General features: G+C 46.4%; 1 protein-coding gene across 3 annotated transcripts in view, besides 5 other annotated features; it reads left to right on the top strand.

Moving 5' to 3' along the window:
* Window positions 4,259–4,538: an enhancer, noted in NCBI's record as "active region_3840". NCBI's record gives its function as "activates an Ori minimal core promoter by ATAC-STARR-seq in GM12878 lymphoblastoid cells {active_cell/tissue: GM12878}" and the evidence as "EXISTENCE:reporter gene assay evidence [ECO:0000049][PMID:35858748]".
* Window positions 10,353–10,462: an enhancer, noted in NCBI's record as "active region_3839". NCBI's record gives its function as "activates an Ori minimal core promoter by ATAC-STARR-seq in GM12878 lymphoblastoid cells {active_cell/tissue: GM12878}" and the evidence as "EXISTENCE:reporter gene assay evidence [ECO:0000049][PMID:35858748]".
* Window positions 10,583–10,882: a silencer, noted in NCBI's record as "silent region_2659". NCBI's record gives its function as "represses an Ori minimal core promoter by ATAC-STARR-seq in GM12878 lymphoblastoid cells {active_cell/tissue: GM12878}" and the evidence as "EXISTENCE:reporter gene assay evidence [ECO:0000049][PMID:35858748]".
* Window positions 10,933–11,182: a silencer, noted in NCBI's record as "silent region_2658". NCBI's record gives its function as "represses an Ori minimal core promoter by ATAC-STARR-seq in GM12878 lymphoblastoid cells {active_cell/tissue: GM12878}" and the evidence as "EXISTENCE:reporter gene assay evidence [ECO:0000049][PMID:35858748]".
* Window positions 10,944–23,171, top strand: part of PIK3AP1 (phosphoinositide-3-kinase adaptor protein 1) — a 127,200-nt gene continuing 114,972 nt past the window's right edge. For 2 of the 3 annotated variants that reach the window (XM_011539248.2, NM_152309.3), the window contains exons 1-2: window positions 10,944–11,076; window positions 21,475–21,891. In XM_011539248.2, coding sequence (XP_011537550.1) covers window positions 11,064–11,076; window positions 21,475–21,891 — 430 coding nt within the window. In that variant the 5' untranslated portion in view covers window positions 10,944–11,063. Of the gene's footprint in view, window positions 11,077–12,764; window positions 12,846–21,474; window positions 21,892–23,171 lie in introns of all 3 variants that reach the window. The other variant, XM_047424566.1, reaches the window with a different exon arrangement.
* Window positions 11,313–11,422: an enhancer, noted in NCBI's record as "active region_3838". NCBI's record gives its function as "activates an Ori minimal core promoter by ATAC-STARR-seq in GM12878 lymphoblastoid cells {active_cell/tissue: GM12878}" and the evidence as "EXISTENCE:reporter gene assay evidence [ECO:0000049][PMID:35858748]".

Below are 23,171 nucleotides of genomic sequence, written 5' to 3'. Positions count from 1 at the left end.
ATAATTTCTTTCTTTTTTTTTTTTGTGAGACGGAGTGTCGCTCTGTCGCCCAGGCTGGAGTGCAGTGGCGTGATCTCAGCTCACTGCAAGCTCCGCCTCCTGGGTTCACGCCATTCTCCTGCCTCAGCCTCCCAAGTAGCTTCTTCAGACTCTCTGGGAAGTATTATAATAACATATATTTTGAAGTGCACATATCCGTTGATCCAGCAATACTGTTACAGGAAAGGAGTCCCGATCCAGACCCCCAGAGAGGGTTCTTGGATCTCGCGAAGCAAGAATTCAGGGCAAGTCCATAGAGTAAACTGAAAGCAAGTTTATTAGGAAAGCATAGGAATAAAAATAGCTACTCCATAGACAGAGCAGCCCCGAGGGCTGCTGGTTGCCCATTTTTATGGTTATTTCTTGATGATATGCTAAACAAGGGTGGATTACTCATGCCTCCCCTTTTTAGACCATCTAGGGTAAGTAACTTCCTGAGGTTGCCAAGGCATTTGTAAGTTGTCATGGTGCTGGTGGGAGTGTAGCAGTGAGGACGACCGGAGGTCACTCTCGTTGCCATCTTGGTTTTGGTGGGTTTTGGCCGGCTTCTTTACTGCAACCTGTTTTATCAGCAAGGTCTTTATGACCTGTATCTTGTGCTGACCTCCTTTCTAATACTGTAAGTAAGAATGCCTTAGCCGTCTGGGAATGCAGCCCAGTAGGTCTCAGCCTTATTTTACCCCGCCCCTATTCAAGATGGGGTTGCTCTGGTTCATATACCTCTGGCAATAGTTTTGTAATCTATCCTACAAAAAGAATAGTACCAGCACATGAAGAAATATGTTCAAGGAGATTTACTGTAACATGGCTTTTGTAGGGGCAAAAAGATGTACTTAACCTGAAGGAAAATAACTGAACTTCCCTGAGTAGGGAATTGATATATTATGGTATACCTATACTATGGAGTATTACACAACTTTTAAAAAGAATGAGTTAGGCCGGGCACGGTGGCTCATGCCTGTAATCCCTGCACTTTGGGAGGCCAAGGTGGGTGGATCACGAGGTCAGGAGATTGAGACCATCCTGGCTAACACGGTGAAACCCCGTCTCTACTAAAAAATACAAAAAATTAGCTGAGCGTGGTGGCGGGTGCCTGTAGTCCCAGCTACTCAGGAGGCTGAGGCAGGAGAATGGTGTGAACCCGGGAGGTGGAGCTTGGAGTGAGCCGAGATCATGCCATTGCACTCAGCCTGGGCGACAGAGGAAGACTCCGTCTCAAAAAAAAAAAAAAAAAAAAAGAATGAGTTAGATATATGTGTATTTACCTAGAAGTGTGTCCAGGTTAATGGGAACTTTCAACTTTCTTTGTTCTTAAGTGTCCACTTGAGGACTGTGTTTACTTAATCAGGAAACAATTTGCATCTCATGTATTAGATATGGAGTCACACATAGAAACTTGAGTTAGGCCAGGGTAGTGGCTCACCTCTGTAATCCCAGCACTTTGGGAGGCTGAGATGGGCAGATCACTTGAGTTCAGGAGTTCGAGACCAGCCTGAACAACATGATGAAACCCCGTCTCTACTAAAAATACAAAAATTAGCCAGGCATGGTGGTGCTTGACTGTAATCCCAGCTACTCAAGTGGCTGAGGCATGAGACTCCCTTGAACTCAGGAGGCAGAGGTTGCATTGAGCTGAGATTGCGCCATTGCACTCCAGCCTGGGCGACAGAGAAAGACTTTGTCTCAAAAAAAAAAAAAAAACTTGAGTTAATTGGCACCATATATCTGATTTATTCCTATGATGTTTTAGCATTCCTTACAGAGTGGCACCTCAGGCATTGCTCAGTGAGTCCACCTCTTTTTTGGGCTCAAGATGCTCCCAACAATACACGAGTTGTTTCTTGGACCAGTCATACCAGAGGCAGCACTATTAACTGGGCAAAAGAAACACAAACAAGAACCTAAAGGCAATGGAGAACAAGAAAAAAGTAGCCAAACACTGGAGAAGAGCCAATGCTTAGAAGAAAGGAACAGCACTGGGGTTCTCAGTTTCCAGCTTTTCGTCAGAGGGCAGGCCCCATTCCATGTCCTGGGCCGCGGCTAAAATTCAGATAGATCCTATACTGTGTAACTGCGTTGGAGAACCAAAGGACACAGCAGCTGCAAAAGGAGGGTGTTATCTCAGAAAGGAGTGAGCAGTAGAGGAGAGCTCCAGGCCCTGTGCATGAACTCTGCCCAAACCTCTGGCCGACTTCTGTAGGGAAGGCTCTGAGCAGCCCATTACAGGCTGAAAAAACTGGGCAGCGAGTTCTGCTGCTGCCCACCACAGTAAAGAAGACAGAGTTTGCAGTCTGAATCAAGCCAAAATAACTACTTGCTTAAAAATAAAACTTTTCAGAGGCATAATGGAATCCAGATTCTCTACAAGTGTCACGTACAATGTCAAGTACAATCCAGTATTACCAGGCCATCTTGATTTGATTGACACTGTACCCAGTAACTGCAGAATACACGTTCTTTTCAAACGCTCATTCACCAAGATCGATCATAAGCTGGGCCATCAAACAAGTATCAATAGATGTTTTTAAATCTTATTTTTACTTTTATATTTTTAACAAAGATTTGAATAAAAAAATCGATAAATTTAAAAGGTTCATACAGTCTGCTTTCTGACCATAATTAAATTAGAACTCAATAACAATAATATATATTTTTAAAAGCCTAAATATATGAATATTAACTCACTTTTTACTTTATTTTTGAGACAGGGTCTCACTCTGTCACCCGTGCTAGAGTATGGTGGCACAATCTCAGCTCACTGGAGCCTCGACTTCCTAGGCTCAAGCAATCCTCCCACCTCAGCCTCTCAGGTAGCTGGGACTACAGGCACACACCACCACACCAAGCTAATTTTTTTTTTTTTTGGTAGAAACAAGGTCTCACAAAGTCCTGGGATTACAGGCCACTGTGCTCAGCTTAACTCACTTTTAAATAACCTATGGCTCCAAGAAGAAATCACAGGGGACATGAAAATATGTTGAACTAAGCTACAGTGAAAATGCAATATATCAAAATTTGGGAGATACAGCAAAACTACTAAATTGGGGAAATTTATAACTTTAAATTCTTACATTAGAAAAGATGGAAGGAATAAAATCGGTAGCCAAAGTTTCAACCTTTGCTATATAAGAGCAAAGTGAACCTTAAACTTACTAAAGTAAGTAAAAGGAAGGAAATAACAAAGACGAGAACAGAAATCAATGAAGTAGAAAACAAACAATAGAAAAATTAATAAAACCAAAAACTAGTTGTTTGGAAAGATCGAGAAAATTGATAAACATCTATCCAAGTTGATACAGACAGAGATACACACACACACACACACACACACACACACACACACACACAGGAGAGAGAAAACACTAATTCCCAGTATCAGAAATGAAAGAGGAAATATTTCATATACCCCATAAATATATATGCCTACTGTGTACTCGTAAGAATTAAAAATTAAAAAAAAAGAAATGAAAGAGGAGCTATCATTACAAATCTTGCAGGCATTAAGAAGATAATAAGAAAACATTATAAATAACTTTATGTCAATAAATCTAAAAATACAGATAAAATGGACAAATTTCTTGAAAAAGACAACTTACTAATACTAGCACCAGATGAAATATAAAATCTGAATAGCCTCATATCTATTGAGGAAATTGAAATTTCTAGCAAAATCTCACAAAGAAAAATTTAAACCTAGAGAATTTTATTGGCTAATTCTATCAAACATTAAGGAAACACTTATCTTTGTCTACCAGAAAATAGAGAAGGAACACTTCCACACTCCTTTTATGAGGCTAGATTAACCCTGATACCAAAAACTGACAAAAGGCATTACAAAGAAGAAAATTACAGACCGATATCTTCCATGAACATAGTTGCAAAAATTTTTAACAATATTAGTAAATTGGCAATATATAAAAAAAAATGATATATTATGACCAAGCGAGGCTTATGTAAGGAGGTTCAAGGTTTGATTAGCCCTCTAGGAGCTAGTGGTAGATTTACAGAGAACTACAAAGTTAAAGCGTCAGATCAAGAAAATAATTTCTACAGTTACTTTTTGAATGTACTGGTAGGGAGAAAGTAGGTGGTTGGATATAGCAAAAAGGCACCAGATTAGGAATAGGGACCAGGGTTCTAGTCCTGGTTCAACCTCCAACTCAAAGTGTGGTGTTAGAAAGGTCACTTTGCCTCTCTTGGCCTTAGTTTCCACATGTGTCCAATAATGACCTATTAGAGTGATTTCCACCTCTAACACTCTAGAGTCTATGAAGCCAAGTCCTAAAATTTTTTGTCACAGCTGCCTAGACTTTCTGCTTCATCACCTCAAAAGGCAGAAGTAGGAAATGTGCAAGATATGCATTCATGCATGAATGAAGTCACCATCTGCACGGGACTTGAAGTGCCTAGGATTCACGGTGGCCCTGACTTGAGAGCACCACATGTCCTCAGGGAGTACTTTCTTTTCTTTCTTTCTTTCTTTTTTTTTTTTTGAGACGGAATCTCGCTCTGTCACCCAGGCTGGAGTGCAGTGGCGCGATCTTTGCCCACTGCAAGCTCCGCCTCCCAGATTCACGCCATTCTACTGCCTCAGCCTCCCGAATAGCTGGGACTACAGGCACCCGCCACCATGCCCGGCTAATTTTTTGTATTTTTAGTAGAGACAGGGTTTCACCGTGTTAGCCAGGATGGTCTCCATCTGACCTCGTGATCCGCCCGCCTCGGCCTCCCAAAGTGCTGGGATTACAGGTGTGAACCACCGTGCCCGGCCCTCAGGGAATACTTTCAAATCAACTGTCTGGAAGCCATTCAGTATGTCATTGTACTGTCGGAAGATCATGGACTCTGGGCTCAGACTGATCTGGGTTTGTTGGTGGTGGTGTTGTTTTTGAGACAGAGTCTTGTTCTGTCACCCAGGTTGGAGTGCGGTGGCCGAGCGATTTTGGCTCACTGCTACCTCCTCCTCACGGGTTCAAGCAATTCTCCTGCCTCAGCCTCCCAAGTGGCTGGGATTACAGGCATGCGCCATTGCGCCCAGCTAATTTTTGTATTTTTAGTAGATACGGGGTTTCTCCATGTTGGCCAGGCTGGTCTTGAACTCCTGACCTCAGGTGATCTGCCCACCTCAGCCTCCCAAAGTGCTGGGATTACAGGCATGAACCACCACTCCTGGCTCTGATCTGGGTTTGAACTCCAGGTCTGCTGCCAGCTGAATGACCCAGGAAACATTATCTAATCTCACTTACTCTCAGTTTCTTCATCTTTGAAGTTATTATTGTGAGAATTAACTGAGATAGCATAAGAGAGTTCGTGGGTCATAGTCAGTGCTCAATAAATGCTAGCTTCCATTCCCTTATCAGTGAAGAATGAGGTTTGGCTACACATAGCAGAATACCCAAAATATCATGGCTTGATCAAGGCAGAGATGTATTTATTTTTCCTCTCCTGTAAATGTTGTCAGAGATGTGAAACCTGGAGCTTGTTTGGGAGCTCCACGGTCATCAGGGAATCAGGCTCCCCAGCTTTCTGCTCTACCATCTTTAGTGTATGGGTTCCATCTACATGGTCACCTCATGATCTAAGAGGGCTGTTGGATCTCCAGCCATCCCATTCACATTACAGGCAGGAAGTAAAAGAAAAAGAGACAAGCAAAAAGGGTGTCTGTCAGCAGAGTTAAGTCTCTTATAAAGAATTTTCGGGGACACCCCAGCCATTTACACCTTATCAGTCTCCTCTTATAAAGAATTTTCAGGGCCACCCCTTACATTTACACCTTATCAGCCTCCTCTTATAAAGAATTTTCGGGGACACCCCTTCCATTTATACCTTATCAGCCTCCTCTTACGTTGCAAGAGAGGCTGAGGAATGGAGTCTTTTAGTGGAGCACATTGTGGTCCCCAAATAAAATTGGAATTCTGTTCCTAAGAAACCAGGGGAGAATGAATATTAGGTGGGCGATGAGCAATCTCAGTGACATCCCTTTTCCTTGTTGCTAAGGTTAGTTTTGGTAGACCAGTTGTTAAATTCTGCCATCAGTGATGGAATCCTGAGTTGAAACAATCTTGACAGGCTGGAACACTGGACCGAATCCAACATATAATGTTTGTTGTTGTTGTTGTTTTTCCTTTCTTTTTCTTTCTTTTTTTTTGAGATGGAGTCCCGCTCTGTCACTCAGGCTGGAGTGCAGTGGCGTGATCTTGGCTCACTGCAACCTCCGCCTCCCGGGTTCAAGCGATTCTTGTGCTTCAGACTCCCGAGTAGCTGGGATTACAGGTGACCGACACTGCGCGCGGCTACTTTTTGTATTTTTAGTAGAGACAGGGTTTCACCATGTTGGCCAGGCTGGTCTTGACCTCTTGACCTCAGGTGATCCATCCACCTCGGCCTCCCAAAGTGCTGGGATTACAGGCGTGAGCCACTGCTCCCGGCCCATATGTTTAATTAAGCATTAAATTATTGCAGTTGGGTCCCAAGCACCCACCAACAAAGCAAACACAACTGTACAACTGTGATGTGGCAAAGGGAAAGGTGTGGCTTCTACAAGTTACATGAAAAAGAGCTGGCGTTCTGAGGTGACCACGTGCTCAATATGAATCAGCAAGGTGGCACAACTGCTCTAAGATGTCGTCCTCAGCTGCCCTTAAGAACAACGGCCATGAGACAGCTGTCATGGCTTCTAAATCACCACACATGACAAGGGAGGCAATTCTGGCATAATAAATAGATTTGAATTCAAAATCTAGCTTTGATACTTACTAACCCAGTGACCATGAGTCAGGTGAATTATCTTATCAGAGCCACATAGCAGATACCCAACATTTTGTTTCTCTGAATTTGAGGTCCAGGGCCTGGAAATGGGCACTGCCACCACTCAAAATGGCCCGAGCAGGGGCCCACAGGTGGTGGCATGGCCTTCATGGGGAGTGGCCATTTCGGTGAGTAGGGAAGGAGGGGTAGGCTTCTAGGTTTCATCTGCAAAGATACTTGTTCCTGAAAGCCACAAATGTCCCCAAATTGCCTGCATCAAGTTTTGATATTATGTCCTACTGGGTTGGAACTGGGTTGAAATTGCCTCAGGCAGATAGGAAGGGCAGCAGTCTTTATAAAAGCCAGGGAGTTCACAAGGCAAAAACAGGCACTGGTGCTCTCGAACTCCTTATCCCTGTCCCCACCTGTGATGTCTTACCTGCCACCTGCCAGTCCTATATAGTCCAATCTTCGCACACTCCACCCTATCCATATGAACACGCCTGAGTCCTCTTGCTCTGCTGAACAAAATGAAGAGCAAGTGCTTTGAATGAAAGCTGTGGGAGCTTAGACAGCTCATTCAACCTGTATGTCGGTATCTTCATCGGTAAAACAAGCAGGTTGGACTTGATAATTTAAAAACAAAGCAGTTACGTACCCACTGTGTGCTGGGCATCAGAGATGCAGTGGTGAAAGAGATATAGCAGTTAGGTCCCATGAGTATGAGACACTGATGGTCTCATAGGACACTGACAGGGAGGTGGGCAGGGAGGTAGGGGATGCTGGGGGCGCTCCAAAGTGGGGCTCTGGATGTTTGTCCTTTGTGAGACTAAGGCAATTCTGGCAGAGCAGGGGAACTCACAGGTGACAAAGAGCTACTGTCTACCTGCAATGTGAGGTGATGCCAACAAAGGCTAGTGGTGACTTGTGGGGCCCTTAGGTCATAGCAGGGCCTGCTTCAAGCATTTACCACCTAATCTAGTGGGCAGAAGCATGGGCTCTGAAGCCAGACTGTCTGGGTTCAAAACTCAGCACTGCAAATTACTAGCTATGTGCCCTTGGGCAAAAGCTATTTAATTTTTTTTATATATATATATTTTTAGACAAAGTCTTGCTCTGTTGCCCAGGCTGCAGTGCAGTGCAGTGGCACAATCTCGGCTCACTGCAAACTCTGCCTCCTGGGTTCAAGCTATTCTCCTGCCTCAGCCTCCTGAGGAGCTGGGACTACAGGTGCGCGCCACCATGTCCAGCTAATTTTTGTATTTTTGGTACAGACGGGGGTTTCACCATATTGGCCAGGCTGGTATTGAACTCCTGACCTTGTGATCCACTTGTCTCGGCCTCCCAAAGTGCTGGGATTACAAGCGTGAGCCACCGCACCCAGCCTATTTAACTTCTTATCTGTAAAATGTGTATACTCTTAGTACCTTCCTCATAGGAAGGTACTCCATGAAAGTACCTCTATGAAGGTACTCCACTTTGGATGGATCATGAGCATCCATGGTGACACACTGCTCCACCTTCACATTTTGTCCTAGTAAGGGAGGTTTTGCTAACCAGGGAAAAGGCTCTGATCCCCAGGTCCGACAGGCTATGAAATAACACTTTGAAGATGTAAAAAGCAGGGATTTCTGCTGCCCTGTCCTCAGGCCCCCATTCCTTAGGATGACACATGTTTACCTCTCCAGCCTCTCCCTTTTGCCAGGCCAAACAGAACTGTAGGGCAGCAGCCAAGTTCGGGTTCTCCATTCTTCCTCGAGCCAATTCACCTACCACCCAGTGTTGCAGGGACCGACTGCAGAACCTGGAGAGAGCCAGTGCACGGAGTGGAGCAGGGTCTTCCAGAGGGGCAGCTGCTCTCCTCCCTATCCCCGCCACTCCCATTCTGCAAAACCCGCCACACGGAGGTGCAAAACCAAACAGACACTACTTTCCCCAGTCTGGCTCCACCTGTTATACAAAGAAATTTGTTGAATGAAATTGCCAGAGTCAGGGACTAGTCATGTCCTCTCACCAAGGGACTGTTGCCTCTGAGTCCTTTTCTCGCTCTAATTCCAGTGGTCACTGCTAGCCAGGAGTGGGAGCAGAGTTTGGATAGCTGACCTAGCACCCAAAACCTTACCTGCAAGTGGCAGGTGCCTTCTAATGGTTTAACAAGTTAGAAATATCCTTTAGGTTAAAAGTTGTCCAGATGCACTTGGTTAGGAGGAAGGAAAGAGCCTTCTCTCCCTAACATCCGGAGCTGGAAGGGAGGAACATGCGTTTGAACAGTGGGAATGTTAGGGGAGTTGACCTTGAATAGACAGATGCATGCTCAGTAGAAATGTCTATGACAAAGAACACAAACTGGCCAGGCCCAGAGACTTGTGAAGAGCGAGAGAGGCTTTGGGGAGAGAAGGAAGAGGGTGGAGTCAGGAAGACCAGTGTTCAGGCAAGGTTCTCCAAATAGGGAGATTTTCCTGGCTTATCTAGGAGGGCCGAATGCAATCACTAGGATCCTTTTTTTTTTTTTTTTTTTTTTTTTTTTGAGACGGAGTCTTGCTCTGTCGCCCAGGCTGGAGTGCAGTGGCGGGATCTCGGCTCACTGCAAGCTCCGCCTCCCGGGTTCACGCCATTCTCCTGCCTCAGCCTCCCAAGTAGCTGGGACTACAGGCGCCCGCCACTACGCCCGGCTAATTTTTTGTATTTTTAGTAGCGACGGGGTTTCACCGTTTTAGCTGGGATGGTCTCGATCTCCTGACCTCGTGATCCGCCCGCCTCGGCCTCCCAAAGTGCTGGGATTACAGGCGTGAGCCACCGCGCCCGGCCACTAGGATCCTTAAAACTGGAAGAGGGAGACAGAAGAGAGTCAGAGAAAGGGATATGATGACAGAAGCAGGGCCATCTGGCTTTGAAGATAGAACAAGGAGGCCATGAGCCAAGGAATGTGGATGGCTTCTAGAAGCTGAAAGAGCCAAGGAAATTGATTCCCTTCTATTTGGCAGAAAGAAACCCAGCCCAGCCACCACCTTGATTTTAGCCGATGGAGACTCATGTCACACTTCTGAGCTACAGAACTGTAAAATGATAAGTTGGTGTTGTTTTAAGCCACTAAATTTGTAGTAATTTATTATGGCAACAGAAGAAAATGAATGCACGGCCTCATCCTGATATTCCCGTTCTTAAATCCATTTCATTTTATTTCCACCTGGACTTCAGCCCTAACCTTGCCTCATCTCTGCTCTCTGGGTCCATCTTCTGGCCCCTGGATTGTTGAGAACTCCAAGGGGATGTGCTATTCAGTTGAATTTCGGCAGCAGGCAAAGGGAGGAGTCCAAGAAGAGGGCAGGTGAAGGCAAGGGTTAAGCAAGAGTTCTAGCTCTGGAAGCAGACTGGCTTGGTACTGAACCTCCGGGAGCTTTTGTTCTCTGTGGAAGCCTGAGCAAGGTATTTGGCTTGTTTCTTTGGCTCCAATGTAAAGACAGTGATAGGTGCTACCTCAGAAGGTTGCTGTGAGGATGCAATGCGATAATGTGTGTAAGGTGCTAAACGCAGCGCCCAGCAGACAGGAACACAGGAAATGAATGGCAGAGAAACTCTATTAGACATTTATCATGTGACATTATAATTAATGTTCATGTGCCATCAGGAGACCAGATCCAAGGAACGGCAGAAAGATCACAGGAGGGCACTCAAGGGCAACGCCGAGCACCCAGGGCCAGGTGCCCAGCCCTCCTCCTCTTCCCCTTCCTGTCCCCTCCCCTTTCCTGCTGGGGCAGCAGGGGCTTAGGGACAAAGCCCCAGGCGATGAGGAGGTGGCTTGGACAGCTGGTGCTCACACACACACACACCCCCGCCCTGTCTCCCAGAGGCCTGGCAGCCCCACACTCTCCCCCTCCGCCTCCTCCCCACACCCCCTCCACCTCGGGCTGCCCTTTGGTGGCAGATCAGGGCTGGTTTCCCGAGGAGTGGGGCGCACGTGGCGCGAAGCCCCCGCCTTCTCGCTGCCCCTGAGCAGGGGGCCGTGGGGGGAGCTGGCCGGCGGCCGGCATGGGGTTCTCACTTCCCCTCCCCAACGGCCGCGGGTGCAGGTGCCGCGGGCCGAGTCCCGCAGGCGGGGCGGACTCTGTGGACACGCCCTCGTGGCGAGGCCGGGCTGCCCTGAGGGAGGAAGCGCCAGAGCGGCGGCCGGTCCCGCGCGGAGCCCGGCGCCCCTCCAGCCCGAGCCAGGACGCCGCCGGCCCCGGTCCCGGCCCCGGGCACGCAGCGAGCCAGGGATGTGAGCGGCGCCCCGCGGCATGGCAGCCTCAGGTGGGTAGGCAGGCGCCGCGGGTCCCCGGGCTCCCGGCCCCTCTCTCGTACCCCGCATCCCTTGAGGCGCGCTCCCCCGCTTGCTTCTGTTTGCGTCCTCTGTGCGGGGATCTTGCCCTCTTTCTGCTCTTTTCTATGTTCCCTGTCGCAAACTTCCCACTCCAACTTTCCCACGTTTCCCGTCCCAGCCTGTGGCGCGATTCTCTTCAGCCCCTGCCTGGCCCGACCCCCTCCCACTTCTTCAGGGTCTCCTTCGCTCCCTCCACCTCTGGCCCTAGGAGTGTCTGAGCGTCGCTTCCCCTGTCCCTCCGACTCTGAAGCGAGAGGCGAGTTGAGAGAAGCGGAGGGCGGGCGATGTGGATGGTCTACAGGGCCAAACGCGTCTCCTGGGCTCCGTGGACCCACAGGGGGCGCTCAGGCAGTCCTAGGTGGTGCGGAGAGATCAGCCGGGGAGGCCCTTGGGACAGTTCCCCAAGCCCCGTTCCTCCACCCCTCCCAGGCTTTGTGTTTTGGGTCTAGAACTTTGCTAGGGATCTAGGAACACTATTCCTTGAACTTTACTTTTCCTGCGTCCTTTGCAGAACTTTGGGGAATGGGGAGAGTTGGCGGTCACTGGGTAAATGTACTCATCAAAGGGTGCCAAGCGTCTTTTCTGGCTGGTCTTGGGTTGCCTTCTGGTTCATGGGTGTACACACTTGGCAAGTCGCTCACTGACGGAGATCCAGGACAAGCCACATAATGATGATAACGGAGACAATTAATGAGTCCTTACTATTGCACTCCAATGGATACTGTGCACCTAATATGTTCTCCATGGTGGGCAGGAAACACCTAGTCTCTGCTCTCCAGGAGTTTATGGTCCTGTAGAGGAAAGCAATAAGTAAACAAGGAATTACTAGATGAGAGGAGGTAGAGTTACAGTGTTTACAAATGGGTTTACTTGTATTTTCCCAGCCCACTTTATGATGTTTTAGTAGGGATAACCTGTGAAAACAGGTTGCAGGTGCCCCTTGAAAAAGAAAATCTAGGTGGCCAGGAGAAGGCACTGTTCTTACAGGAGGTGAGCAAACACTGGAATGAAGAGCCAGCTCTCCCCAGATCCTCTGAGGGTCTGGTAAGGGTGCTTCGGAAGCAGAGGTAGAAAAGGCCAGGAGTGATTGTTCCATGTACTACAGGCTCATTAAAGGGGATGGGAAGGTAGTTAATCACAGCCTCCTGGCTCTCCAGCTGGGCTCTGGAGGCTAAAAGAAGCTGTGTTGTGAATAAGGAGGCCTAGTAATAGCAGGTAATATACACTTAATAAGGAAAATCTCTGGTATGACATGTGTTATGGGAAAACGATAAAGAAGGGTGAGGGAGACTGGGGTTAGGATTTTCAAATGAGGTGGCCAGGGTGGAGAAAGGCACATTTGAGCCAAGATTTCCAGGGGGAGGAGGCTCTTTGGGGAAGAGTGCTCCAAGCAATGAGTGTATGTGGTGCGTTAAAGGAAAGGGAGTAGGCCAGAGTGGCTGGAGTAGGTGGGCTGTGGGGGAGAGGGAGATGAGGCCAGATAATAAACCAGTGAAGCCGCCTCCTCCTTCCATGGTCAGGAACAGGCCCTGGGCTGCTGAGTCCAGGAAACCGCAAACTGGGAGGGCCTTTGGGTGGAAGAGTCTGAGAAAATGGCCTCTCTTTTCCTCTTTTCCAGCGTCCTGTGTACCTCTCTCCAGTGGACACAGCCGAAGGAGCTAGGAAGGCGAGCTCCAGTTCAGAGGGGGACCCTAGTCCGGTGGGCAAACCTGGGGCTATTTATGGGCTCTGTAGCAGCTTCTGCAGGTGTTTGTAATGGTTAGAGCTGTCAAACTGTCTTGCTGTCTGCGTCTTCTGTGGCGAGACACCACTCCAGGTGCTGTAATTGAGAGTTGGGTCTCTGGAGTCCCTCGGGTTCCCTGAGGTTTGGAAGTACAAGGACCCATGGGGGAAGATCACAGTGGTGAGAGCAATGCCGCTCGCCAAGGTGCTGTGGGCTTTGGAGTCATCCAGCCACCCTTCTGTATGTTCTTCTTTTCTTTTAAAAGCAGCTTTATTGTGATATAATTCACATGCCATACAATTCATCCATTTAAAGCATACAATTCAGTGGTTTTTAGTATCTTTACAGATATGTGTAGCCATCACCACAGTCAATTTTGGGACATTTTCATCACCTCAGAAAGAAACCTTGTATGCTTTAGGTATCAACCTTTTATTCTCCTCTCCTCTCCCAGCCCTAAGATCTACTTTGCCTCTATAGATTTCTCTACTCTGGGCTTGTATATGAATGGAATCACATAGTATGTGGTCTTTGGTGACTGGCTTCCTTTGTACAGCATAATATTTTCAAAGTTCATCCCACTGTAGCTTATATCAGTACTTCGTTCCTTTTTATGGCCTAATTCTTAAATTCCCTTCCACTGAAGGGGAAGCATTAGTCTATATTGTTTTCTGAAAGATGTCTGCTTGTTGAAATCCAGGAGAAGTTAGGCTCCCTGTCTTTGAAAGGACCTTGGGTAGGAAGATAAAATGAAATGGACTTGGCCTATTCCACAAAATTCTCTAGGCCCCTGATGGCATCTTGTGTATTTACACGTGAGAGAGAGGAAAGAGAGGATCCGTGAGTGACTTTCCCAAGTGGCCAAGTCTGTGGCTGGGTGAAGAAAGACTAGTACTCTCTCCTCTGTGTATCAGCTCTCATACCGTCTCTTGCCCCCTCTCTCCAAGGCTCTTCTCTTTAGATCCTTCTACTATTCCTGGACTTACAGGACCATGGAGCTTGAAGGGACTTTTAACCTTTTTGTGACCTTAACTTCCATGTGATCCTTGAGGCCTCTCAATACTCTTGCCAGTACCTAAATTTGAACAACTTCTGGGGTGGGAAGCTCCTGATATGATTGACCACATCTCTCCTTATCCTGGTCACCTTCCCTATCTCTCATCCCTCTTCAAATATGGTGTTCAGATTCAAACATGGGGCTCCAGGATGGATGAATGGGGTGCCAGAGTCACCTATAGGCTGAAGAAATGGTCTGGGCTGGGTGGTTTGAGAAGCTTTCTGGCACTTCCTGTCTGTACTTCTCTCCAGTGAGTTTTTTTTTTTTTTTTTTTGAGACGGAGTCTCACTCTGTCACCCAGGCTGGAGTGCAGTGACACGATCTTGGCTCACTGCAAACTCTGCCTCCCAGGTTGAAGTGATTCTCGTGCCTCAGCCTCCCGAGTAGCTGGGATTACAGGTGCCCACCACCATACTCAGCTAATTTTTGTATTTTTAGTAGAGACAGGGTTTCACCATGCCAGGCTGGTCTTGAACTCCTGGCCTCAAGTGATCTGCCCTCCTTAGCCTCCCAAAGTGCTGGGATTACAGGTGTGAGCCACCACGCTCGGCCCTCCATTGGGCTCTGAATCCTGCAAAGGCACCTCTCTTTCAGCCCCAGCTTTTCACCCCATGGACTCCCTGCTGCTACAGCCTCCCCTTCCTCTGCTGTGATCCATTTCTTTCTCCTTCTGTAGCCAAACCTGTTCTTGACGTTTTACGAGGACAAAGAAAGACCCTTCCTCATTTCTTTCTAGGGCTTGTAGACTCCTTGTTAGCTCATGTGTTTCATTTCTCTTAATAAATGAACAAGCAAAAAAAAAGAGAGATGTGATTGAGGATAAGTGGAAAAGCTACTTATGGTTAAAGGAAGAGGATTATTGCTGAAGAAAGGAGTTTCCCCCATATAAGGCAGAGTTGCTGACAAAGCATTTAGTCCTATATTGTTACCCAGCACATCAGAAAGGGACTGGAACTTTCACTTTGGACTTTTTAAAAACTTCCCCTTCTTTCAGTTTCCCAGCACAGCAATATTCGGGAAGGTGATAGATTTCATTGTCCTCATTTACATCAAGGCAAATTTGCCTAGACTTAGTAATTGGTCTAAGTCACACCACAGGTTAGTGACCAAATAGGTTGTAATGTTAACTAGTCTGAGGCAGTAATTAATTTCTCCTCAAATACTTTCACTCAAAGGGAATTGAATTTAACACTAGAACCCCAGGAGTGAGACATTGTGCATTTATTTATTTATTTATTTATTTATTTAATGAGACAGGGTCTCACTCTGTCATCCAGGCTGGAGGGCAGTGGTACGACCTGGGCTCACTGCAACCTCTGCCTCCCAGGTTCAAACAATTCTCATGGCTCAGCCTCCTGAGTAGCTGGGACTACAGGCGCATGCCACCACGCCTGGCTAATTTTTGTATTTTTTTGTAGAGTTGGAGTTTCACTATGTTGGCCAGGCTGGCCTCGAACTCCTGGCGTCAAGTGATCCGCCTGCATTGGCCTCCCAAAGTGCTGGTATTACAGATGTGAGCCACTGTTCCTGGCCAGGAATGAGACATTTTGAATAGCTGTTCTGTTTGTTTATTTGTTTGTTTTTTAAATATAGGAGATTTAAGTGCTCTTTATTTCAATTGTACTTTTTTTTTTTTTTCTTTGAAATGGAGTCTCGCTCTGTTGCCCAGGCTGGAGTGCAGTGGCATGATCTCAGCTCACTGCAAGCTCCGCCTCCCGGGTTCATGCCATTCTCCTGCCTCAGCCTCCTGAGTAGCTGGGACTACAGGTGCCCGCCACAATTCCCGGCTAATTTTTTGTATTTTTAGTAGAGACGGGTTTTCACCATGTTAGCCAGGATGGTCTCGATCTCCTGACCTCGTGATCCACCCGCCTTGGCCTCCCAGAGTGCTAGGATTACAGGCATGAGCCACCGCGCCCAGCCTCAATGATACTTTTAAATAAAATTTTATTTTAGAACAATTTTAGATTTCCAGAAATACTACAAAGATAGTACAGAGAGTTCTCATATAGACCACATCCAGTTTCACCTATTATTGACATCTTACATTAGTGTGGTTTTTGTGACAATTAGTTAACTGATACTGATAAATTATTAATAACTAAAAGTTCAGGCTTTCCTCAGATTTCCTTAGTTTTTATGTAATGTCCTTCTTCTGTTCCAGGAGCCCATCTCAGGTACTACGTTATATTTGGTAGTCATGTCTCCCTAGGCCCTTCAAGGCTGTGATTTTCTCTGATTTTCCTTGTTTTTGATGGCTTTGACAGTCTTGAGGAGTACTGGTCAGTTATTTTGTAGAATAGCCCTCAGTCGGGATTTGTATGATATTTTTTCCCATAATTAGACCAGGGTGCTGGGTTTCAGGGAGGAAGACCACAGAGGTAAAGTGCCAGTCTCGGCCCATGGTATTCAGGGCACACACTCTCAACATGATTTGTGACTGTCAATGCTGACCTTGATCACTGGGTTTCTCTATTGTAAATTTACTCTTTTTTTTTTCTCCCTTTCCACACTGTGCTCTTTGGAAAGAACTCACTTGACACAGCCAAACACTAAGTTCTCTGTATAAGGAGTTACACTCTACCTCCTTGAGGGTGGAGTTATCTATCTACATAAATTATTCAGAATTGTTATGCATGGGAGATTTGTCTTTTTTCCCCAGTGTATTTATTCAATTATTTATTTTGTATCAGTATGGACTCCTGTATATTTCTTTTATGCTTTGGGTTATAATTCAATATTATTTTATTTATTTTGTTGCTCAAATGGTTCCAGCTTTTGCCACTGGGCGCTTTGAGTTGACTCGTGTTCCTTTGACATATGCCTGTCATTGAATTTTTGTTTGAGCATTACTTTCTGGCACTACAAGATGCTCCAGGCTCATATTGAATATTTCCTGCCCCAGGAAGTATTTAATCCTAGACTCATTCCTAGAATCCATCATTTCACTAAGGAATCCTGGATCCTTTTATTGGAGAATGGTATGAGAAACCCATGGCACTAGATGTATTTTATTAACTGTATTTTCTAAACTATATTCTGTATTTCCTTGACTTTTTAAATTGGGTGCAACTTAGAGATTAAGAGCATGGACTTTGGAGTCAGATCCCTGCTCTGGCACTGACTAACAATGTGCACTTGGGCAGCAGCAGCAGTAAATCTTCAACGAGTTTTAATGTCTGTGTCTGTAAAATGGGGCTTTTTGATAACATATACTTTGTGGATTGTTCTGAGGATTAAATGAGAGAATGTACATGAGATGCTTAGCAGAGTGACTAACACATGATCAGTGCTCAGGAAACAGAGCTGAATCACGATTTAAACTTTCCTTGATGACTTGGAGTCTTTTTTTTTTTTGAGACGGAGTTTCGCTGTTATTACCCAGGCTGGAGTGCAATGGCACGATCTCAGCTCACTGCAACCTCCGCCTCCCGGGTTCAAGTGATTCTTCTGTCTCAGCCTCCCGAATAGCTGGAATTACAGACGCATGCCACCATGCCCGGCTAATTTTTGTATTTTTAGTAGAGACAGGGTTTCATCATATTGGTCAGGCTGGTCTCGAACTCCTGACCTTAGGTGATCCGCCTGCCTCGGCCTCCCAAAGTGCTGGGATTACAGGCTTGAGCCACCGCAGCCAGCCCTTGACTTGGAGTCTGTAATGAACAGCAAGTATTATGATGTGCTGTTCACAGAGGAGCAGGATCTGCTGTTAGCTGGTGAGGCAGGATCCAGGGGGAAATGAGTACCCATTCCCTCAGTGGCCCTAGAGTTTATAATTTTAAAAATGTTCACTTACTTTTGGATCACTAAATTCTTCTTATAAAATTGGAGTAATCACTCATGGCCATGTGGTCTTTAGAACAGTGTAAAGCTGTTGCTTTTCTACTAAGTCAATCAGTGCCCCAAAACCCAAGCTGCCTCTCAGTCTCAAGCAATCCTCCTACCTCAGTCTCCTGAGTAGCTGGGACTATAGGAGCACACCACCACGCCTGGCTAATTTTTGCTTTTTTTTTTTTTTTTTTTTTTTTAAGACGGAGTCTCGGTCTGTCTCCCAGGCTGGAGTGCAGTGGCGCAATCTCGGCTCACTGCAAGCTCCGCCTCCCAGGTCCATGCCATTCTCCTGCCTCAGCCTCCTGAGTAGCTGGGACTACAGGTGCCTGCCACAACACCCGGCTAATTTTTTTTTTTTTGTATTTTTAATAGAGACGGGGTTTCACCGTGTTAGCCAGGATGGTTTTGATCTCCTGACCTCGTGATCTGCCTGCCTCGGCCTACCAAAGTGCTGGGATTACAGGTGTGACCCACCGCGCCTGGCCTAATTTTTGCATTGTTTGTAGAGACGGGGTTTCACCATGTTGCCCAAGCTGGTCTGAAACTCCTGAGCTCAAGCAATCCGCCCGCCCTGGCCTCCCAAAGTGATGGGATTAGTAATGAGCCACTGGGCCTGGCCCCAAGCTGCCCTCTTAAGGGTTCTTCTTATGCTTAGGAAATTTTCTTCTTCCCTCTTCTTCACTTTTTTGCCATCACTTGCCAACCCTATTGAAAACACTACTTATGGTTTCTTCATCACTAGTATATGGGACCACAACCATCCCTTCCTGAGATTTTATTCTCCTTCTGCTTATTGCACAAATTGTTGACATGATACGCATATGTATGCAGAGGAAGGTGGTGGCTACCCTTTTTCACTTTTGCATTTTTACAAAATGCTCCAGGCTCCTTGCACAGCATCACTAACATTGCATCCTTAATGTTATAATGAAATGTAAAGTCTTGCACCTGTCCTACCTGATGGCTCGTGCCCATGCACGCACATCTGCAATAACACTTGACACTTAGAAGAACGTTTGCCTCTTAAGATAAACCAGCCACATAGGAAGGAAGGACAGAAAGAAGGTAAATATATTCTGATAATTTAACTCTGCTTCTCAATGTCAGTTGCATAGTTATGTAGCTTTGCCAATGTTATACCTTCTATAGTTTTGAAATGATTTTTCCATTGAGGTATAAAGAAATATTCTACACAGAAAAAAAAAATCCAAGCAGCAAAGATTTTTATTTATTTATTTATTTTTATGGCAGGCTGCAGCACTGGTGCATTAACTTTTTGTCCTTAATCTGTGTAAGCTTTGGAATCAGGGTAGGCATTCCTGAAAAGGACCATTATGTTCACAATTGAGGGAACAGACCGTGATCAGAATTGAGTTCTCTGTAGAACCACAAATGTCCAGGGCATCGTCAGAATTGCGGACTGGTTTTCGCCAGTTCCATACTGTTTGTCTAAGATTGCCTTTTTAAAAGATTTGTACACCTTCCCTTCAAAAATACTCTCAGGCGGATCAACTTGCTCCTGCTAAGAAGTCTACTGTGGGCTTTATATTAGCACTGGATTAGGGCTCCAGAAAACCAGGGGGACTCAAAACAGAATGAAACTGCAAACATTCGTTTTATTTGCTATTTTTAAAAATTTGGTAATATGGCCGGGTGCGGTGGCTCACGCCTGTAATTCCAGCACTTTGGGAGGCTGAGGTGGGTGGATCACGAGGTCAGGAGATCGAGACCATCCTGGCTAACACGGTGAAACCCCGTCTCTACTAAAAATAAAAAAAAAAAATTAGCCGGGCGTGATGGCGGGCGCCTGTAGTCCCAGCTACTTGGGAGGCTGAGACAGGAGAATGGCGTGAACCCGGGAGGCGGAGCTTGCAGTGAACCGAGATCGTGCCACTGCGCTCCAGCCTGGGCGACAGAGCGAGACTCCGTCTAAAAAAAAAAAAAAAAAAAAAAAAAAAAAATTTGGTAATCTCATCCTGGGGGAAATCAGAACTATGTTGGGCTTGCATTGTACATGTTGCTTTTTGGTTTGAATATAGTGGTGGATTGGATGGGGGCAGGCAAGAGGATTCATCCTATGATCTTTTCAGAGCCTCTAGGTCTTGCCTAAGTCCTGCCTCTGTCCTTTTCAACAGGAAGCATCAATGAAATGCGGCCCAGGCCTAGCGTTTAATTGTTTTAGTCTACAACTTAGGTGGTTCCCAACCTTCATAAAATGTGACCAGCTTCCTTCTCTGAGTTCCCTGTTGTGTTGTATGGACACTTTATACTCACCTCTTCCAAACCACACACAGAACAGTTTGTTGAATTCATGGAGAGATGATGACCCAAAACAGTGGTAACAGTTACATTAAGAGCCAAGCTTTTTTGAACTTTGGTAGTTGGAAGCTATGACTTACTACTCGTAAGATTCTTGACATAGTTCCTGATGGGTGGTGCAGGTGAGTTGGGAAGGAGGCTGGACTGGGAACCAGGGAATAACCTGAGTGTCAGTTCTGGCTCTGCCAATAATCTAGAGTATGAAGTTGAGCAAGTCCCTTAACCTTCCTAGATGAAATGTTTCTTTCATCTGTAAATGAGGAGTTTGGGCCAAGTGATCCCTAAAAGCCCTTTTTGACTCTCTTTTTGGCATTTGTGCTTTGTTAGAGGAAGAAAGCCTATGTTATAGGCCAGGTGTGGTGAGGGACACCTTGCAGATTGTATTGTGGAGGTAACAGCATTAATTCACAACTACCATGCACTTTAATATGATACATTATTTATATTCATGTGAGGATGATGACACCAGCTACCAATTCCTGAGGGTTTTCTATATGACAAGCACTGTGCTTAGCAGTTTACATGAAATATCTAATTTAACTCAAATCCTTACTTGGCCACTGTGAATCTTGTGCAAATTACTTAACCTGTCACACCTCAGGTTTCTCATTTTTTTAAAGAATGGGCTAATAATAGTACCTACCTTCTAAAGTTGCTGTGAAGATGTAATGAGTTTAGTAGGCAATGTGCTTGGAAGAGTGCCTGGAACATAGTAACCTCTATATAAGTGTTTGCTGTTGCGATTATTATTATTTATTATTATTGTTATTATTGTTATGATCTCATACTGCTTCAGGTGTGGGGGGAAGGTGCATGCCAGGCAGAAGCAATAGCTCGTGCAAGGATCTAAAACAGTATGGGGTTGGGCCTGGTGGCTCACGCCTGTAATCCCAGCACTTTGGGAGGCAGGGATGGGTGGATCACTTGAGGTCAGAAGTTCAAGACTAGCCTGGCCAACATAGTGAAACCCCATCTCTACTAAAACTACAAAAATTAGCTTGGCGTGATGGCAGGCATCTGTAATCCCAGTTACTTGGGAGGCTGAGGCAGGAGAATCGCTTGAACCCGGGAGGCAGAGGTTGCAGTGAGCTGAGATTGGGCCACTGACTCCAGCCTGGGTGATAGAGCGAGACTCAGTCTCTAAATAAATAAATAAATAAATAAATAATAAAACAGCGTGGTATGTTTGGGCAAAGATAAGGAGTCTGGTATGATTGGAACACAGACTGTAAATGGGGAAAGAAATGCGTGAGTGAGGTGTGCTGGTGTGCTGGAGGCACACCACGAAAGATTGTGGGTGCCAGACCCAGTGTCTGGATGCTCTACCTTTGCAGGCTGTGGGGAGCCACCTAGAAGGGGAGGTGTGCTAACATGCTTCTGTGCCTCATTCTTGTCCAGGGGTGCCCAGAGGATGCGACATCCTCATCGTCTACAGCCCGGATGCCGAGGAATGGTGCCAGTACCTGCAGACCCTGTTCCTGTCCAGTCGGCAGGTCCGCAGCCAGAAGATACTGACTCACAGGCTGGGCCCCGAGGCCTCCTTCTCGGCAGAGGACCTAAGCCTTTTCCTCAGCACCCGCTGTGTCGTGGTGCTGCTGTCCGCGGAGCTGGTGCAGCACTTCCACAAGCCCGCCTTGCTGCCCCTGCTGCAGAGAGCTTTCCATCCTCCGCACCGCGTGGTCAGGCTGCTCTGCGGCGTGCGGGACAGCGAGGAGTTCCTAGACTTCTTTCCAGATTGGGCCCATTGGCAGGAGCTCACCTGTGACGATGAGCCAGAGACCTACGTGGCAGCTGTGAAAAAAGCCATTTCCGAAGGTAAGGATTTCTTCTAAAGATAAGCAAGCCCTAGAAAAGTTGCTAATCCAGGTCCTAGGTGTAAGTTTATATTCCAAAATGAGCGGGGATCTCACTATGTTAAGAGACCTGGTCATATTTATGGGTTTAGAGCAGCCTATTTCTGGGGTGGGATAGGGGCAGGACAGCTCTCCTGGACTATCAGGAGAGGAAGAGGACACTGTCCCTTTTCTTCTGTACTAGGGCAAAGGCCTTCTTTCTAGAATTTTCTGTGCCTTGGAAGACACAGGACAGAGTTCCAGCCTAGAAAGTAGTTGGGGCTGGGAGGCAGAGACTTAGTTTGCTGTTGGTGTGAGGAACAAGACTGCCCACTCTCCTGCTTGCATGTTACTTCCATTTTATCATCACGCGAACTTCACATTTTTGTTAAAAAAGGGTTTTTTTTTTTTTTTTTTTGAGTCGGAGTCTCCCTCTGTCACCCAGGCTGGATCGCAATGGTGCGATCTCAGTGGACTGCAACCTCTGCCTCCAGGTTCAAACGATTCTCCTGCCTTAGCCTCCCGAGTAGCTGGGATTACAGGTGTGTGCCACCATGCTTGGCTAATTTTTTTCTATTTATAGTAGAAACAGGGTTTTATCATGTTGGTCAGGCTGATCTTGAACTCCTGATATCAAATGATCCACCCGCCTCAGCCTCCCAAAGTGCTGGGCCTACAGGCATGAGCCTCCGTGCCCCGCCAAGGCATTGTTTTTTTCGATAACATGTTTATAGAGAAATAGCCCTCTTCTCTATTTCCCACCAGCCTAGCTTCTATATTTTGCCATTTCTCCTTTTAGAGTAGGAAAATTCCGATCCTTTCTGCCGGGGTTAGTGACTTCAGTGGCCCCAGGAAGTGTGACACACACTCTGATTAACAGTAACAGAAGACATGCTCTGGGATGGACACATATCACAGCTTTTCTTCCTCTTTTTGCTTTCTTTTTGCTTTTTTTTTTTTTTTTTTTTTTTTTTTGAGACAGATCCTCGCTCTGACGTCCAGGTTGGAGTGCAGTGGTGTGATCTCAGCTCACTGCAACCTCCACCTCCTGGATTCAAGTGATTCTCCTGCCTCAGCCTCCCGAGTAGCTGGGATTGCAGGTGCCCACCACCACACCTGGCTAATTTTTGTATTTTTAGTAGAGACGGGATTTTACCATGTTGGTCAGGCTGGTCTCAAACTCCTGACCTCAGGTGATCCACCTGCCTCGGCCTCCCAAAGTGCTGGGATTACAGGCGTGAGCCACCACGCCTAGCCTCTTTT

The sequence above is a fragment of the Homo sapiens genome, chromosome 10 (genome assembly GCF_000001405.40).
Source record: "Homo sapiens chromosome 10, GRCh38.p14 Primary Assembly".
NCBI classification, from domain to species: Eukaryota; Metazoa; Chordata; class Mammalia; order Primates; family Hominidae; genus Homo; species Homo sapiens.
This window is presented reverse-complemented; position numbering and strand designations above follow the sequence as displayed.